This window comes from Homo sapiens, chromosome 5, assembly GCF_000001405.40.
Source record: "Homo sapiens chromosome 5, GRCh38.p14 Primary Assembly".
NCBI lineage: Eukaryota > Metazoa > Chordata > Mammalia > Primates > Hominidae > Homo > Homo sapiens.
This window is the reverse complement of record NC_000005.10, coordinates 159,605,246-159,625,119: the sequence shown is the minus strand read 5'-3', so window position 1 is coordinate 159,625,119 and position 19,874 is coordinate 159,605,246. Positions and strand designations below refer to the sequence as shown.

At 39.9% G+C, this 19,874-nt stretch overlaps 1 long non-coding RNA gene across 2 annotated transcripts in view; it reads right to left on the bottom strand.

The window, feature by feature from the left end:
* Positions 1-19,874, bottom strand: part of LOC105377684 (uncharacterized) — a 114,041-nt gene that overhangs the window by 4,498 nt on the left and 89,669 nt on the right. For both annotated transcript variants that reach the window (XR_941139.3, XR_941141.2), the window contains 3 exons: positions 10,525-10,575; positions 8,885-9,235; positions 5,523-5,776 (listed from right to left, as the gene is read on the bottom strand). This is a non-coding gene — a long non-coding RNA (uncharacterized LOC105377684). The remainder of the gene's footprint in view (positions 1-5,522; positions 5,777-8,884; positions 9,236-10,524; positions 10,576-19,874) is intronic.

Sequence of the window (19,874 nt, the reverse complement as noted above, 5' to 3'; positions counted from 1 at the left end):
TATAGTATCCTTGAATGATCTTTTGTATTTCTGCGGTATTGGTTGTAATATCTCCCATTTCATTTCTAATTGAGCTTATTTGGATCTTCTCTCTCCTTGGTTAATCTCACTAATGATCTATCAATTTTATTTATCTTTTCAAAGTACAAGTTTTTTGTATCATTTATCTTTTGTATTGTTTTTTGTTTGTTTGTTGCAATTTCATTTAGTTCCGTTCTGATGTTTGTTATTTCTCTTCTTCTGCTGGGTTTGGGTTTGGTTTTTTCTTGTTTCTCTAGTTCCTTGAAGTGTGACCTTAGATTGTCTATTTGTACTCCTTCAGATTTTTTGATGTAGGCATTTAATATTATGAACTTTCCCCTTAGTACCACTTTTGCTGTATCCCAGAGGTTTTGATAGGTTGTGTCAGTATTATTGTTCAGGTTGTTACTGGGGGAGGGTGTCCAGGTTCTTGGCATTTTGGACAAGAATAGGACAAAATACACAAACAAAGCAAGGAAAAAATGAAGCAACAAAAGCAGAGATTTATTAAAAATAAAAGTACACTCCACAGGGTGGGAGTGGGCCTGAGCAAGTGGCTCAAGAGCTGGATTACAGAATTTTCTGGGGTTTAAATACCTCCGGAGGTTTCCCATTGATTATTTGGTGTATGCTCTATGTAAATGAAGAGGCTGAAGTGAAGTTAGAAAGTTATGTACTTGGTGTATACCCTATGCAAATGAAGAGAATGTTTCCTGTCATAGCTGAAATAGAGTTACAAAGTTATTTACCTGGTTGTAGAAAGTTGGGGTTTTTCCATTTGCTTTAGTTCTAGGAAATCCTTGGGTTCCCTGCCCCAGACCCTATGCTCCTGCCTCAAGTTCAAAGAATTTTTAAATTTCCATTTCAATTCCATTGTTGACCTAAAGGTCATTCAGGAGCAGATTATAATTTCCATGTATTTTTATAGTTTTGAGGTTTCTTTTGGAGTTAATTTTCACCTTTATTTCACTGTGGCCTGAGAGAATACTTGATGTAATTTTGATTTTCTTAAATTTATTAAGACTTGTTTTTTGGCCTATATTATGGTCTATCCTGGAGAATTTCCATGTGCTGATGAAAAGAATGTATATTCTGCAGTTGTTGGATAGAACGTTCTGTAAATATCTGTTAAGTCCATTTGTTTTAGAGTATAGTTTAAGTCCACTGTTTCTTTGTTGACTTTCTGTCTTGATGACCTATTGAGTGCTGTCAGTGACGTACTGAAGTCCCCCACTATTTCTGTGTTGCTCTATCTCATTTATTAGGTCTAGAAGTAACTGTTCTATAAATTTGGGAGCTCCAGTGTTAGATGCATATCTATTTAGGATTGTGATATTTTCCTGTTGGACTAATCCTTTTATCATTATATAATGTCCCTGTTTGTCTTTTTTAACTGTTGTTGCTTTAAAGTCTGTCTTGTCTAATATAAAAATAGCTACTCCTGCTCACTTTTGGTTTCCATTTGCATGAAATATCTTTTTCCATCCCTTTATCTTAAGTTTGTGTGAGTCCTTATGAGTTAGGTGAGTCTGTTGAAGACAGCACATGCTTAGTGGATTTTTTATTCATTTTGCCATTTTGTATCTTTTAAAGGGAGCATTTAGGCCATTTACATTCAATGTTAGTATTGAGATGTGAGATGCTGTTCTATACATCATGCTATTGTTGCCTGAATACTTTTTGTTTTTTCATTTTGCTATTGTCTTATAGGCCGTGTGAGATTTATGCTTTAAGGAGGTTCTATTTTGGTGTATTTGAGGCTTTGTTTCAAGAGTTAGAACTCCTTTTAGCATTTCTTGTAGTGCTGGCTTTGTAGTGGTGAATTCTCTCAGCATTTGTTTGTCTGAAAAAGACTTTCTGTCTCCTTCGTTTATTAAGCTTAGTTTCACTGGCTACAAAATTATTGGCTTATAATTGTTTTGTTTAAGGAGGCTAAAGATAGGACCCTAATCCCTTCTGGCTTGTAGAGTTTCTGCTGAGAAATCTGCTGTTAATATGATTGATTTTCCTTTATAGTTTTCCTGATGCTTTTGCCTCACAGCTCTTAAGATTCTTTCCTTCCTCTTGACTTTAGATAACCTGATGACTATGTGCCTAGGTGATGATCTTTTTGCAATGAATTTCCCAGGTGTTCTTTGAGTTTCTTGTGTTCGGATGTCTAGACCTCTAGCAAGACGGGGAAGTTTTCTTCGATTATTCTCTCAAATAAGTTTGCCAAACTTTTAGATTTCTCTTTTTTCTCAGGAGCACCAATTATTCTTATGTTTGGTCACTTAACATTATCCCAAATTTCTTGGAGCCTTTGTTCATTTAAACTTTTTTTCCTTTGTCTTTGTCAGATTTGGTTAATTCAAAAGCTTTTTGAATTAACCTTCAAGCTCTGAAGTTCTTTCTTCTACTTGTTTGATATTATTGTTGAAACTTTCCAGTGTATTTTGCATTTCTTTAAGTAGGCCTTTCATTTCCAGAAGTTTTGATTGTCTTTTCTTTTTTTTGATATCTATTTCTCTGGAGGCTTTTCATCCAAATTCTATATTTTTTAAAAATTTCTTTACGTTGGTTTTCACCTTTCTCTGGTATCTTCTTGATAATATGGAGAAAACTTAATAATTAGAAGCTTTTAAGAATTCAGAAGGTTGATTATTAAGCTTCTGAATCCAGAAACTTAATAATCAACCTTCTGAATTCTTTATCTGGCTGTTCAGAGATTTCTTCTTGGTTTGGATCCATTGCTGGAGAGCTAGTGTAATTTTTGGGGGGATGTTGTAGAACCTTGTTTTGTCATATTACCAGAATTACTTTCCTGGTTCCTTCTCATTTGGATAGACTGTTTCAGTGGAAAGATCTGCAACTCAAGGCTGCTGCTCAGATTCTTTTGTCCCATGGCTGATCCCTTGATGTGTCTTCCCCTAGGGATGGGTCTTCCTGAGAGCTAGACTGCAGTGATTGTTATTGCCCTTCTGGGTATAGCCACCCTGCCAGGCTACCAAGTTTTGGGTTGGTGCTGAAGAATGTTTGCAGAGAGTCCTATGATGTGATCTGTCTTTGGGTCTCTCAGCCATGGATTCCAGCACCTTCTCTGGTGGAGGTGGCCGGAGAGTGAAGTGGACTCTGTGGGAGTCCTCAGTTGTAGTTTTGTGTAGTGCAGTAGTTTTCTGGAATGCTTGTTATGCTAGCAGTGAAGTGGTCACATGGACAGACTTAGGACCTCTGGTTCACCAGGGTGTTGCAGGCAGTGGAATGAGCTGTCGTTTTCTCCTTCTTTGGAGCAGGGTTGTTCTGTCCTGAGTTGCTGTCATGGCTTGAGTTGGTTGACCTCCAGCCAAAAGGTAGGGCTTTCAAGAGAGCATCATCTGTGGTAGTATAGAGGGGATACAAGCTTACCCTAAGATGCCTGGATAAGTATTTGGGTTTCTTAGGCAATGAGAGGGGCCACAGAGCTTCCATGAGTTTATATATTTTGTCTTCAGCTAGTAGGGTGGATAGAGAAAGACCATCAGGTGGGGGCAGGGTTAGGCATGTCTGAGCTCAGACTCTCCATGGGTGGGGCTTGCTGTGATCACTGTGGGGGATGGGGGCCAGTTCTCAGGCCAGTGAAATTGTGTTCCCGAGGGGATTATGGCTATCTCTGCTGTGTAATACAGGTCACCAGGAAGGTGGAGGAAAGCTGGAAGTGACAGGCCTCACCCAGCTCTCACACAGCCAGAAAGGCCTATCTCACTCCCACTGTGCCCCACCAACAGCACAAAGTTTATATCTGTGCTCACCAGACAGCTGGTGAGCAGGGCTGAGATCTTGCCCCAGGCTATGAGCCTCCCTGATGAGAAAGCAAGCAGGGCTCTCACACCTTGCCCCTCCCTGCCTGCCCACATAGTCAGCTGTACTTCTGCACTCGTATCAGTATTTCCCATTTGTACCCCCACCCTTGCCCCAAGATTCTGCTCGGAAAATTCATGCTCAGTCACAATTATTAGAGTTCAACTAGGAGCTTCCTTCATTCTGTGGCTCCTCCTCAATTCCACTGGCTGCCTTCCATACGAGCCCTGTGAGATAATGCTGGAAATAGCTTCCCTAGGCTCAAACTGGGGACCAGGAGTACCTACAGGGCTCTTCTCACTGCTTCTTCTACTGTTATATTTTGTTCAACTCCCTAAATCCATGTCAGCTTTATGTAAGGTTAAATCCTTCTCCCATGATCTGGATTGTCAGGTTCCCCAGTGGGAATGTGTGTACGGAGGCAGACATTTCCCCCTCACACTTTGGGAACTCAGTTTTTAGGCTGTCTTGGGAAGTTTGCAGTGGCAGGCCACTTCTTTCAAAGAGTCTGTTAACTCTTTCAGTTTTCCTGGTGTGTTTCACTGCAAAAGTTCACAATGTGAGTCTCCACATGCTGTTCTTCCATCCAAGTGAGAGCTGCATGTTAGTACTGTTTCCTATCCACTATCTTCTAACTGTCTCCAAAATCAATCAAATCATATTCTTTTTCAAACTTTCTGTAAATATCAAAGAAAAACGCTGAATTTGATGATGTTATGTCTTCCATACTCTATTTTCGTTTAAAGAAACAGTAGATGAAAGTCCAGTCTTTAGTAGGTTGTAGTATGTGGTTAGAATTTAATATCGTCACAAAGTTTTCTTTTTATTCATGCTTAGGATTACCATACAGTTATGACAAACTTTTCACCTGTGGCAGTGATAAAACCTTTCTTTTAAAATAAATTTGTTTACATTCTTCAAAAGTCAGTATACAGAAAAAATCTTAACTGAATATAGTATAGGTAGCACACAAATGTGGCAAAATAAAAGATCTGGGAAAACATTGTGTTGCACTGTACACACATCCTTATTCAGCGGTCCTTGCTACTCTCCAAGACAAATAATGCTTCTTCCCTTTTTCTCTACTGGAAAATGATTTCTTTTTGCTTTGTCTCCTGCTTCTTGCGTTTTCCTCCTGCTCCCAACCAGCCTCCTCCTGAGGTTCTCACCTGCCAGCCCCCATGCCTCCCCAGTTGCTAGACTCTGTCATTTTCAGCATAGCTCCCTCCATCTGCCAAAACCCAGTCCAAGTCTGCCTCTGCATACCATATGGTCTGGCAGACAAGACGGGCGCTCGATGTTGATTCAAGAGCTGAAAGCAAATCCAGTTTAACCCCCATCCTCCCTTCTTAGCAGGAGAGGAAGCAAACTTTGTTGTCCTGCCTCTTCTATCTTCCAGCCTGAGGAAGGCAGGCCTCAGTTAGCTGTGTGATGCCTGGACCTTCCAGTCCTGGATTCCTGCTGCCTCCCTCCTTCACAGGGACTATTCTTAGACTTTTCTGGTTTTTATCTTAGAAAGGAGCATTAGCCAGGTGCAGTGGCACATGCCTGTAGTCCCAGCTACTTGGGAGGCCTAGGCAGAAGGATCGCTTGAGCCCAGGAGTTCCAGCCCAGGCTGGGCAATATTGTGAGACCCCCATCTCTAAAAACGTAAATAAAAATAAAAAGGAACATTTGGTACTCACTGGATAATCTTTCAGCAAGCAAACCTTCCTTGAGTCAGGAGGAAATAGGCCAGTCAGCCTCCCTCGTAGTGCTGGGAAGTGAACGCCCACAAAGGCTGGCTAAAGACAGAGCAAGGACCCGGGGGCAGGGCAGGTAGGCTGTGGGTCTGCATGCACAGTCTCTGAGGACACTGTCTTGGCAAGCCAAGCAGCTGGCCCTGGAGGTCAGCATCACCATGTATCCTCTCCAAAGTGAGGTAAAGCCACACCAGCCACTGGAGAAAAGAAAAGAAGAGAGAGAAGAAAGAGGAGTGAATGAGAAAAGGAGAACTAAGGGAGAAGAGGAATGTGGAGAGGACCTACGTGAAGCTAGTTGTGGAGTGTTCCAAGATCAAATAAAAGGTATCATAAAAGGGCATCCTAAATTATAAGTTGGTATGATTCATTCATACTTGAAGGTTCTGTGAAGGTAGGAGTAAGTGCCAACTGAGTCCCAGTGTGCACTGGCCGGCTTTCATTCAACAAATATCGAGTGTCTGCTATGTGTTAGGTGTTGGAGCCCCAGCAGTGCACAAGATTGACAAGTCCTTGCCCTCATGGAGATGACATTAAATGGCTTAGTAAGGTCACAGGGAGCACATAGGCATTACAATCAGACTGCCTGAGTTGAAGCTTGCTGTCTTGCACCTTAGCTCTGTGACCTTGAGTACCTACCTAAGGCAGCAAGTATTCTTATCTGTGAAATGGGAATAAAAACAGCCCTACTTAAAGGGTCTTGGTAAGGATTTAAAGACATAATTAATATATGGCATAGTAGGTATATGGTGGTATCTCATTATTATTAATTATTATTATTATTATTTTGAGACAGGGTTTTACTCCTGTTACCCAGGCCGAGTGCAATGGTGTTATCTCAGCTCACTACAACCTCTGCCTCCCAAGCTCAAGCAATTCTACTGCCTTAGCTTCCCGAGTAGCTGAGACCAGGTGCACACTACTGCACCCAGCTTATTGTTTTATATTTATTTTTATAGAGACGGGGCTTCACCATGTTGCCCAGGCTGTTCTCAAACTCCTGAGCTCAGGAGTTCCACCCCCTTCAGCCTTCCAAAGTGCTGGGATTACAGGTGTGAGCCACCATGCCCGGCCTCATTGATGTTTTAATTTGCATTTCCCTAATGATGAATTATGTTAAGCATCTGTTTATGTATTTATTGTCTATTTCAATATCTGTTTTTGGTAATGAATCCATTCAAATCTTTTCCCACTATTTATTGGGTTTTTTGCCATATAACTAAGCTGTAAGAGGTCGCAATATAATCTGGATATAAGTCTTTAATCAGATATATGTTTTGCAATTTTTTTCCATACAATGGCATTCTCTTTTCATTTTCTCAACGGTGTCTTTTGAAAAGAAAAAAATCTTAACTTCTATGAAGTCCAGTTTATCACTTTTTTCTTTTATAGGTTTGCAATCTTTGCCTAACTTAAATTTCACAGGTTTGTTTCTCACAATTAAGCCTATGCTCCACTTTAAGTTCATTTTCTGTGCATGGTGGGAAATAAGGGTGAAGGTACTTTTTTTCACCTGAAGAAGAGACATAATTTATTATTTTCTTCATACACATGAAAGTGAGGCCCAAGCAGGCTGAGAAAGGAGCCCAGAGTCATTCAGTTTAGAGGCAACTGAGTGATAATTGAACCCAGCTCTTCTGATTCCAAATAAAGTGCTGTTGCATGTTGCCTCCACTGTCTAGGTGCCCACATTTTCTTTAAGATGGTGATAAGATCCAGGTTAGAGCAGACAAACCTCTTTCAAGTTCTGGATCCATCACTTTCCCTGGGCAAGCTACTGAGACCTATAAAACCTTCATTTAAAAAAAAATTGTAAAATGCAGGTAAAAAGAATACCTTCACATGAGGCTGTTGTCAGGACTATTTGAATAATACATATAAAGGGCATAGATAGGCCTGGTATTTAGCATGTGCATCATACAAGTCAGTGTGATGGGATGGATTTTTTTTTTTTAATCTCCTCAGCCTTTCCCTTCCCTGGAGCCCAAACCCAGCTCCTTCTAGGCGGCACACTCTAAACTGACACTGCAGAAGGTTTGGGGTACACTGAAATAAGAAGCAGACCCTTCCTCCCATAATAATTCACTGGGCCTGTCCTCTGTGAGTTGTTTTATCTCAACACTAGGGCAGTATATTTGTTTAATAGACATTTCACTCTGAAGATGTTTTGGCAATTTCCCCCATCCCTGTCCCCAGGCTAGAGATACACATGGATTGAAGAATAGAAGTTGTGGCAGACAACTTGCAATTGTCTGCAAGATGGCCCCCCATCGTCCCAGCCTCTGATATTCATGCCGTGTGTAGTAATTGCTTCCCTTTGAATGTGGGTGAGATCTGGGACCTGCCTCAAACCAAAAGGAATATGGCAATATGACTCCAATGTGAGTCACTTCTGCAATTACATTACATAAGATTGTAACACTTGTCTTATGAAAAAGACTCTTGCAGGTTTTGATGAAGCAAGTAGACATATTTGGGAGGTCCACATGGCAAGAAACTGAGTACAGCCTTTTGCCAACAGACTAGAAACTGAGGGTGGCTTCCAGCTGTCAGCCAGCAAGAAACTGAGGCTTTAATCCAACAGGCCACAGGGAACTGAATTCTGCCAATAACCACATGAGTCCTAAATCCCATCCTTCCCCAGTGGAGCCTTGAGATGAGATTGGAGTCCGGACTGACACCTTGATTAAAGCCCTGTGAAAGGTCTTAGAGCCAGAGACATGCGGCTAAGATATGCCTAGACTCCTGATCTACAGAAACCATGCAATAGCGAATGCATGCTTTTCTGAAGTCATGAAGTTTGCGGTAATTTGCTATGCAGCAATAGAGAACTGACACAGAAGCCAAGATTAAAATGAAGCAGAATGCTGGAGAGAAGAGCGGAGAAGGTGAAAGATCAAAGCAAAGGAGGGAAGTGACAGGGGCAGGACTCCTTTCATGCCCATGTGAGGTGGCTCCCCCTGTCCTTTAAATATGCTTGGTGACCCCAATGGAAGCTCCAGCAGGCCCATGACTCTTGGCTCACAAAAAGCCCTACCACCACTTAAATAGCAAACATGGTCTTCTTTTGGAAGTTAGGATGCCTAGTCCCTTGTAGTAATCAAAACTGGCCTGTAATGAGACTTAAATTTTCTCTTTTCTTTCAGGTAGGGCCAGCCTCCTGTCTGCTGAGCAAGTGTGGGGTCATTGTCTCATTTATTTCCCTACTTCTCCTTCCTCGGCTTGCAAATAGTGGCTCTGGCCTCTCCACTATTGGAGCATGAGAAGACATGAGATGAGTGAGTGGAAAGAATAAGGGAAGCACTTACTTGTCTGGCGCTATTGGGAGATGGCTCTGGGCTCTAGGCCTGGCAAGGGTGTGAAGCTGTGTCTTCATTTTCAGAACACTTTGGAGTGACTTCAGTGGCTCTCCTGCTGGATCACCCTGTCTGCTATTCCCTTGATGCAGGCAAAAGTTCCCCTTTATGTGAATTCTTCCCACTTCTGTCCTCAGCCTGTTTGTTTTCTGGAAGGCCACATCTTATAGGCTTATTCTGTTGGGGTAACTTGGCTTCTGGCAGAATCCCTTTCCCACAGGATGTTTTTTAAACAACCCCATGCTAACATTCCTGCTATGGATTCAGCATCTGGTGCCCAGTATTCATGCACCTTTCGCCTGCCTATAGAGGAGAGATAGTTATTCCTCAACAAAGTAGTAGCTCCATTTCCTTCTGCCTTGCCATCTATGGCAGAAATCCTTCAGATTTCCACAGAGCATATCAAACATTAGTCTACCATAGCCATGCCCATGTACAAGGGGCATACATCAGCAGGCCGACTGGCTTTCTAATAAAGCTCTTTACAGTTGAGGGGAGGGGCGGAACACCCTTCCTTCGACTCATGGAAGATGAGGCTCACAGAATAAAAGCAGATACCCAAATACAGTTTGCTACAAATTCTTTTTCAAAATCAAATATTGACGATTTATGTTCTAAAATAATTTTTTTTTGAAAAATTGTATTTTGGTTTATCATCTCACTTTGGAATTTTGTACCCATCATGTTTTAGTTGAAATGGTTTCAATTTAACATCTTGTTATGTGATATTATTGGTCTCATGGTCTCCCCAACAACCCACCCCTTTCCTCTTTGACTAACTGGAGTGACCAAACCTATGTTACTTTGGCTGTTTGGCAGATACTAGATTCTTCTTAGTACAGGTTGGTAGCCTCTAGAGGCGGGAGGGGGAGGGGGTGATATGATTATTTTCCTGCAACTTTGCTTCAAGGTGGTGTCTTAATATGAAAGCAAGTCTCAGGCCAAATTCTGTCAACCATACACATCATTTTTTAGCAAGCAGGCAAACAACCACTTGTATTTTGGGAAAAACTCCCCCTCTCTCTGCCTTTGGGTTCCCTGACATGCCCCTTGCAGGAGTAGTTCCCTGAGAAACAGGTTCCTAAATGTATGATCCAAGGCCCCATCACTGGGCCAGCTAGAGGGATCCTCCATGAAGTGGGAGGATGTAGGACCAATGGGCTCCAGAACTTCCACCTCTGGTACCGATGGCTGAACGTGCACATTTCTTCTGCTTTATTCACGCACAAGTGGTGGATCCTGCTACCCTACTCCTAACTGATCTTATGCACAATGAATTTCACCAACAAAAAATTATTTCTAACATCCCATATGCTAATTAACTCAAAAGTATTGATTCAGGTAAGGACTCTTCATATACTAATTAACCACTCATTGCTAGAGTGTTGATTAGTGTTAACTTACACATATACACATCACACCACTTGTACTGAAGTATTTTAAAGTAAATTACCATGCACACAATACAGCACTAACAGAATCCTGATTTTATCTCAGCTGCCAAGTACACAGCCCTGAGAGATAAATCATGATTGCTCTTGCTAATTCAATCACAATAAACTTGGCTTTTTTTTTTTTTCCAATATACTCACTTTTCCAGACTTTGCTTGTGGTCATAGGTAGTTACATGATGGAGTACTCATCTATGAAAAGGAAAGGGAGGTGTACTGAGAACTGAGAAGTGCTTTCCTCTCTGATAAAAAAAAAAGAGAGAGAGACACAGGAGACAATTTCTCAACACTCTGCCTGCCTTTGTTTCCTGTCTTTGTATGTGATCAAGAGAAAATGTGATGATTTGCAGCTGAGGTAGCCACTTTGCAATTGTGAGGCCTCCAGGATGAGGATGAAAAACTAAAATGCTGAGGATGGCAGAATGGAAAGCCCTGGGTCCTGATGATCTTGTTAAATTATTGTTTTAGTCTGTGTGTGCTGCATTAACAAAACACCTGAGACTGGGTAATTTATAAATAATAGAAATTTATTGTGGAAGTTCGAGATCAAGTGCCAGCAGATCTGGTATCTAGTGAGGGCTGCTCTCTGCTTCCATGATGGTGTGAGGTTGCTTTGTCCTCACGTGGCGAAAGATGGAAGGCCAGAAGGGCCTAGCTGGCTCTCTTGAGCCCTTTTATAAGAATACTAATCCCATTCAAGATGACGGAGCCCTCATCGCTTAATCACCTCCTAAAGACCCTGCCTCTTAATTCTATCACATTAAGTCTTAGGCTCCAAAACATGACTTTTGTGGGGACACATGCATTCAAACCATACTAGCTGCCAACTCTCCAGAGTCGGGAGTTAGCAAAGTTCAAAGAAACTTCTGCCTTTATTCAGTAAAAATAAAATAAATAAATAAATATAACTATGGTTTTAGTCACTGCTAGTTAGGTTTATTTATTATTTGCAGCCCAAAATATTTCAACTGATACATTTGGCCTCTAGAATAACTGTGTAAGGGAGGGATCTTTTCTAAATATTTTATGCATTAAAATAATACACATGTACATGCATGCATACATACACATGCCCCACTCGCACTCCCAAGGCAGAAAACCTACCTTCCTCAAAGAGCCAGGGAACTCAAGTTTTTCCTCCTCTCTCAACCCTTTGAAATTTCCCATCCCCCAGTGACATTGCTGCTACTTCTGGAATCCATTCACCAGTGGTATAAAGGAGGGATTTTTTAAGAAATGAGATGCTCACATCTCAGATTCACCATCCAAAGTTATAAAATCCCTCATTTATACCACTGGTTAATTGTGGTTTTTGCATTGTTGAGATTTGACGTTTGATATTGGAATACATTCTTAAGCGTGCTTATGTTATACATCATTTTAATACACATTTCTCACTTTTTTTTTGCTAATGACTTATTACTTGCTGTTTACTTTATGTTTCTCTTAGACTATGGAAGTGATGTTAGACAAAAAGCAAATTCGAGTGATTTTCTTATTTGAGTTCAAAAATGGGTCGTAAAGCAGCAGAGACAACTTGCAACATCGAGAATGCATTTGCCCCAGGAGCTGCTAATGATTGACAGATGCGGTGGTGGTTCGAGAAGTTTTGCAAAGGAGAAGAGAGCCTTGAAGATGAGGAGTGTAGTGGCAGGCCATCGGAAGTTGATGACGACCAATTGAGAGCAATTATCGAAGCTGATCCTCTTACAACTATACAAGAAGTTGCCAAAGAACTCAGCATCGACCATTCGACGGTCATTTGACACTGGAAGCAAATTGGAAAGGTGAAAAAGCTCGATAAGTGGGTGCCTCATGAGGTGAGTGAAAATAAAAAGATCGTCTTTTTGAATTGTCATCTTCTCTTATTCTATGCAACAACAACGGACCATTTCTAGATTGTATTGTGACATGCAATGAAAAGTGGATTTTTTTTCCTTTCTCTTTTTTTTTTTTTTTTTGAGATGGAGTCTTACTCTGTCACCCAGGCTGGAGTGCAGTGGCATGATCTCAGCTCACTGCAACCTCTGCCTCCCAGGTTCAAGCAATTCTCCTGCCTCAGCCTCCCGAGTGGCTGGGATTGTGCCACCATGCCCAGCTAATTTTTGTATTTTTAGTAGAGACGGGGTTTCACCATGTTGGCCAGTCCGGTCTTGAACTCCTGACCTCACATGATCCGCCCACCCCAGCCTCCCAAAGTGCTGGGATTACAGGTGTGAGCCACCACACCCAGCCTAAAAGTGGATTTTATATGACAACTGGTGTCAACCAGCTCAGTGGTTGGACCGAGAAGAAGCCCCCAAGCACTTCCCTAAGCCAAACTAGCACCCAAAAAATGTGGGGCTACTGTTTGGTGGTCTCCTGCCAGTCTGATCAACCACAACTTTCTGAATCCTGGCGAAACCGTTACATCTGAGAAGTATGCTCAGAAAACTGATGAGATGCATCAAAAACTGCAATGCCTGCAGCCAGCATTGGTAAACAGAAAGGGCCCAATTCTTCTCCACAACAATGCCTGACAATGCCTGACTGCACGTAGCACAACCAATGCTTCAAAAGTTTAACAAATTGGGCTACAAAGTTTTGCCTCATCTGCCATATTCACCTGACCTCTTGCCAACTGACCACCACTTCTTCAAGCATCTTGACAACTTTTTGCAGGGAAAATGCTTCCACAACCAGCAGGATGCAGAAAATGCTTTCCAAGAGTTCATTGAATCCCAAAGCACAGATTTTTATGCTACAGGAATACACAATCTTATTTCTCATTGGCAAAAATGTGTTGATTGTAATGGTTCCTATTCTGATTAATAAAGATGTCTTTGAACCTAGTTATAATGATTTAAAATTCACGGTCCGAAACATCAATTACTTTTGCACCAACCTAGAATATATTACGCTGTGACAGCTGAGAAGAAGGTGGCACTTGGAACAAGCTGGATTTGAGCTCCCTAGTGTCCCGCAAAGTCTCTTTTATAGAATTTCTCACTCTCTTCTGCTTCATCTTGCTAGATGAGAGTTGGGCCCTAAAATTTAGGCTGCCCTTATCTCCTCCTCTAACCCACTGCCCTTATTCTCCTCCAAAATCCTCTCAGTAGAGGAATTTTGGAAGATTATAGTAATAAGACACATGAGCATTTGGGAAAGACAGGCATATAAGAATTTGGAGTTTATAGGCTAAGTTTATGGGACCTGTGTGCAAATCTGTCATGATGATGATGATGGTACCACTGCACTCCAGCCTGGGTGACACAGTGAGACCTTGTCTCAAAAAAAAGGAAAGAAAAAGAAAAAAGAAGAGATAAGAAAACAAAAGAAAGTGCAGGGAAGGGAAAGGGGAAAGGGATAAGACACAGTGAGAGGAATGAGGGAAAGGGAGAGGAAAAGGTGAGGAAGAGAGGTAAGGGGAAGGGCAGGGAAGGGAGAGAATATATATGTCAAGTGAAACTACGCAAGGTGGAAATAAGGGCTAAGTGACAAGAACAGGAAGAAACCGCTCATCTTCTTTTCAGCAGGCATCACTGTAACTTCAGGGGAACATCATTCAAAGTATACCATTTCCCACAGAGTATAATGTGGCTTACCCACAATTTCATCAGTTGTGTTCAAGCTGCATAAAAAGCATAGGAGCCAGACCTTCACCTGAGGGCACTACCATGTGGTGTCATTATTTCCATGACAAACAAAATCTTTCCCAGGAAATGGAACAGAGAAAGTAACTGAAATGTCTGTAAAGTAGTGGGAAATTTAGGGTAACTAAGCATTCCACATTTGTGAGATTGTCCTATTTTGTTATTCCCACCCTAGTGGTGCCTAAGGGTCCTATTTTTAAACAGGGAACCAGAACCAATCATCAGTGTGTGCAGCTTACACGTGAGGTCCAGATGCCTCATTTCCTGGTTCCCGGTACTCACTAAATAAGGAACAAGTAAATTCACTCCCAAGACCAACACCTGAACTGTTCAGCACCCCTCCTCCCTCAGAAGGACCTATCCCTCATCTTTATTTATGTTTCCTGGCTGGGACCTTGACCCAAGGAATGCCTTGCACCCCCCATCTCTACTGGTTTTCTCTACTCCAAAAAAACAATAAATATTTTTGCATTTTAAAAAATAGAATGATGTATGAAAAGGGATAAGCAGAGTTCTTAGAGATATACTGTATCATGACACTTAATAAAAATTAATTTCTCTTCATTTTCATTCTATTATATAAATTAGGTTATCATCTCTAGCTCAACATTTCAAGGAGGCAGGGAAGTAGAATTTGAAGGTTTCTTGAGTTGGTTGGCTTTGGGCACTGCAGATGAGAAAAATCACCTGCAAGTGTATTATAATTTGATAAATCATTAATCACTTTATTTTTAAACAAAATAGGTTGCTGAATTAATTCATCAGAATCAGACTCAAGAGTTCTGCTATCAGTTAGGATATAGAGGCTAATAAAAAGCCATCATTCTAATAGCAACAAAAATATCAGGTAAACTAAAAAAAAAATCTTATTTCTCTTTAAAGCCATTGAAGATTGCAGATGAAAACAAGATCTAAACAAACTAAAATTCATAGAGGGAGAAGACCCTTCTTGAGTGAGCAGATGGAAGACCATTTCAATTCATAGGGGAGTTGTTGAGTCTGGGGGAGAAGCAAGCCTGCTGCAGGTGGAGGGACTTTGTGTGAAAAAGGAGAAATCATCCAAGTTTTTAGGAGAGGTGCCTGGGCTGCATGGTGGATCAGAATCTGGAAGAGCCCTAAACTCAGAGTTAGCCTTCACCATACCCCAATTCACTCCCATGGAAATTTTATTCAAAAAGTAGAATAATCAGAAAGCTGGAATGAGGTCCAGAACTCAGAGAGAGATCTCATAGTCTTGTGGTGCTTAGATCCCAAAATCCAAAATCCTGCTGGAGCAAAGGGCCTAATCTCTCCCGAGTCATTTGAACCAGAAGTGAACTGAAACTAACTCTACTGTTACTCCAAGCCCCAATACTATTCAACTAGTTAAATTGATGAGCTCAGCCCCTAACAATCGCTGCTTGTCAGCAAAAGGGTGAGCCGTTTCTGCGGAAAATTATAATCTACTTCAGTCTCTATTGGTCTTTTACATATACACTGTGTCTGAAATAAAATTAAAAATTATAACATGCAAGAAGCAGGAAAATATGACTCATAGTTAAGAGAAATAAAAACTTTTCAATAGACTCAGACCCACAGATGATTCATATGATGAAATTTTCAGAGAAAAATATTTATTTACAATTATTATAATGTTTTGCAATTTGGAGGAAAGAAGCGATGGAGAATTTTGGCAAATAAACAAAAACTATTCAAAAGAAACAAATAGCAATTCTGTAACTAAAATATACCATTAAAAAGTAAAGTATTGGATGGGCTTAACATTAGACTGGACAGAGCAGAACAAAGAATTAGTGAACTGGAAGTGAGTCAACAGAAATTATCTCAACTAAAGCATAAGAAGAAAAATAAATGTAAAAATAATGAAAAAATATTAAAGACCTGTGGAACAATATAAACAAACTCAGCTAACATAAGTGTAATTGAAGTCCCAGAAATAGAGGAGAGAGAGAATAGTGAAGAAAAAATGGTGGAAGAAGTGATGGCTCCAAATTTTCCAAAATGGATGAAACACTTCAATCCATACATTTTAAAGGCACAGCAAATATAAATCAGAATAAATACCAAAAAAAAAAAAAAACACACACACACACAACAAGCACATTCTAAGGCTTTTTTATTATTTAAATTTTTATTTTTAGATTCAGGAGGTACATGTGCATGTTTGTTGCAAGGGTACATGGTGTGATTCTGAGGTTTAGGCTTCTACTGATCCTATCACCCAGATGGTGAACACAGTACCCAATAGGAAGTTTTTCAACTTTCCCCACCACAACTCCTTTTGGAGTCCCCAGTGTCTAGTGTTCCCATCTATACGTCCATGTGTACACAGGGTTTAGCTTTCACTTATAAGTGAGAATGTGTGACATTCAGGTTTCTGTTGCTGCATTAATTTGCTTTAGGATAATGGCCTCCAGCTGCATCTATGTTGTGACATAGAACATGATTTCATTCTGTTTTATGGCTGCATAGTATTCCATGTTGTATACGTACCACATGTTATTTATCCAGTCTACCATTGATGAGCACATAGGTTGTTTGTGAATAGTGCTGCAATAAATATAATAGTGCAGGTGTCTTTTTGGCAGAACAATGTATTTGTTACTTTGATGTATACCTAGTAATGGGATTGTTAGGTCAAATGGTAGTTCTATTTTTAATTCTTTGAGAAATCTTCAAACTGCTTTCCACAGGGGCTGGCTGAACTAACTTACATTCTTACCAACAGTGTATAAGTGTACCCTTTTCTCTGCAGCCTCACCACATCTGTTATTTTTTGACTTTTTTTTTTTTTTTTTGAGACATGGTCTCACTGTCACCCAGACTTGAGTGCAGTGGGACGTTCATGGCTCACTTCAGCCTCAACCTTCTGGGCTCGAGAGATCCTTCCCCTCAGCCTCCCAGGTAGGTGGGACTACATTTTTTTTTTCTGTATTTTCTGTAGAGATGGGGTTTTGCCATGTTGCCCAGTTTGGTCTTAAACTCCTGGGCTTAAGCAATATACCTGCCTTGGCCTCCCAAAGTGCTGGGATTATAGGTGTGACCCACTGCACTTGGCATTTTTTGACTTTTTAATAATAGCCATTCTGACTAGTGTGAGATGATATCTCATTATGGCTTTGATTTGCATTTCTCTGATGATTAGTGATGTTGAGAATTTTTTCACATGCTTGTTGGACACTTGCATGTCTTCTTTTGAGAAGTGTCAGTTCATGTTCTTTGCCCATGTTTTAACGGGGTTATTATTCTTTTTTTTTTCTTGTTGATCTAAGATCCTTATACATTCTGGATATTAGTCCTTTGTCAGACGCATAGTTTGCAAATATTTTCTCCCATTCTGTAGGTTGTCTGTTTACTTTGTTGACAGTGCCTTTTTCTGTGCAGAAGTTCTTTAGTTTAATTAGGTCCCACTTGTCAATTTTTGTTTTTGTTGCAATTGCTTTTGAGGACTTACTCATGAATTCTTTGCCTAGGCTATGTCCGGAAGAGTACCTCCTAGGTTTTCTTCTATGATTTGTATAGTGTGAGTTGTTATATTTAAATTTTTAACCCACCATGAGTTAATTTTTGTATATGCCGGGGTTGAGGGTCTAGTTTCATTCTGCATGTAAATGGAAAACCTTAATCATTACATTTATAGGAACAACAATAAGAATTGCAACTGACTTCTCATTTGGAAATGATGAAACATCATTTTTCATGTACTGAAATAAAAAAAATACTCTATCAACCTAAAATCTAGTGAAAATGCCCTTCAAAAATGAAGGCCAGATTAAGATATTTTCAGAAAAGTAAAAACTGAGAGAATTTATAATTGGCAGACCTGCACTGTAAAAATATGTATTAAGAAAAATTCTTCAGGCTGAAAGGAGAATGATGCAAATATGTCTATATCTGTAGGTAGAAATGAAAAACACTTGAAAGGAAAAAATGTGTACATAAATATAAAAGGAGATTTTTAAAATTTTCTTTATAAGACTTTGGCTATTTAAAGTATAGACAACAATATATTCTCTGGTTTATGATATATTAGAAGTAAAATATATGACAAATAGCACAAAAGGTGGAGGGGGTTGGTAAATGAAATTATATTGTAGCAAGGTTCTAACATTGTTCATGGATTGGCATGATAATAATTTAAGGTGGACATGATAAATTAAAGAACAACTATTATAATAATCTCTATATAACTACTAAAAATAATATAAAGAAGTATAGATAAATTTCATCAGACCAAAGAGCATGTGCCCCAAACTAAAAGTCCTGATTTGGGCCTAGAGTTAGAAAATGTAACAGGATAAATAGTAATTCTCCTCTCTGAAAATTGTCTGGTATATGTTTATGCGTTAGTCTGTATCTGACCCATATTTTTATTTTCACTCTTTCCCCCATGCCTCTTTCTTTCATTTTCTCTTTCTTCTTTTTTCTTCTCTTTACTCTCTCTCTCACTTCCCTTGTACAATGTATGCTTTTTGGGTATATTTTAAAAATTTACTTTATGTATTGAATAATGGCATATTATTTCCTATCCTTTTTTTTTCCTCAGAGAAGCAAAATATCTTACATTTTCTTTCTAAAAAATAAAATGGATTTTTACTATGTGGCCCATCCTTAATTCTTCATGTGAGTCATATTGATCTTTGCTATAGCATTATACATTAAACTAATGGCTTCTTTCTAAGTGAACTTAAGACTGTGTATGTATTTTTTGAATGGGAGCAAGTTTCAAGCTCTGTATTACAAAAAATAAATTTGTAACTTATCCTAGCTTCACATCTGAGTCCATTGCTTTCTGAAATGTCTGAGTGAAAGTAAAAGGACTAGGAAGCAGAATGCCTGGAAGTGGGAAAAAGTCTTGTATTTCTCCAGGGGAGGCATTTGAGACATATTTCAGATGGCTGATTCGTATAATTTGAAGTTACAATTGCTTGTTCATTTTAAGCAAGTTACCTGCCCATGCACCCATGCATGTGCACACAAACATACATACGCTTTGCAGGATGTTTCAAGGTAAACAGCCAAATACGTCTTATAACAAATTCTTTCTTGTATATCAAAACCATTATTACCAATATCAATTCACAGTTTCCAAAGAGAGTTAACTTTGCTTGGCTACCACATTTTCCGTAAACCCAAGGCTGTCTACACTGGTATTCTCTGCAATCAGGAAATGAGCAGATCTGAAAATGAGGTGTCCTGCTATTTGGGCAACACACAGACTGCTGGAATGTTCTTATCTTCCTGGCAAATTCACTGGGGGAACATTTGACCATGGCCACTCCACAGCACAGTTGCTGTCACTCCAGCATAGTATGCGTGGAAGAATGCAAGTGCACAACATGTTTGCCTGGAAACTTGCCCACAGTTCATTACCAGAGAGTCCAGTCTATTGTATCTTAGCCAAATTAAGGTTTGGGAAGTATTCGTTTTGTGGTGAGTTCAAATTTTCTGTGTCTTTGACCCTTATTCCTCTCAGAGAACCAAAGTAGAAAAAGCTTAGCTGTTCATAAACATAGCATATAAATTAATCATGATTTGGGTCCTGAGGCTTTTTTTTTCAATAGTGAAGGTCAAGGCAAATGCCATGACACAGCCTGTCTTTCTATAATAAACAGCTGCTTTCCTAAGAAAAGTTGCACTAACAAAATTTGTCCTGTAATAATTTCTGTCATTTATTGACTGCTTATTATCTGTTAGACACTGTGCTGAGGTCTCACAAGATCATTTCATTGACTCCTCACAGCCCTAAAGATAAGCACTATTATGATCCTCATTTTACAAATGAAAAACTGAGGCCGAGTGCTTAGATGATTTTTACACTATTCTTGATGGTGCCTAGGTTCAAAGTCTAATTCAAAT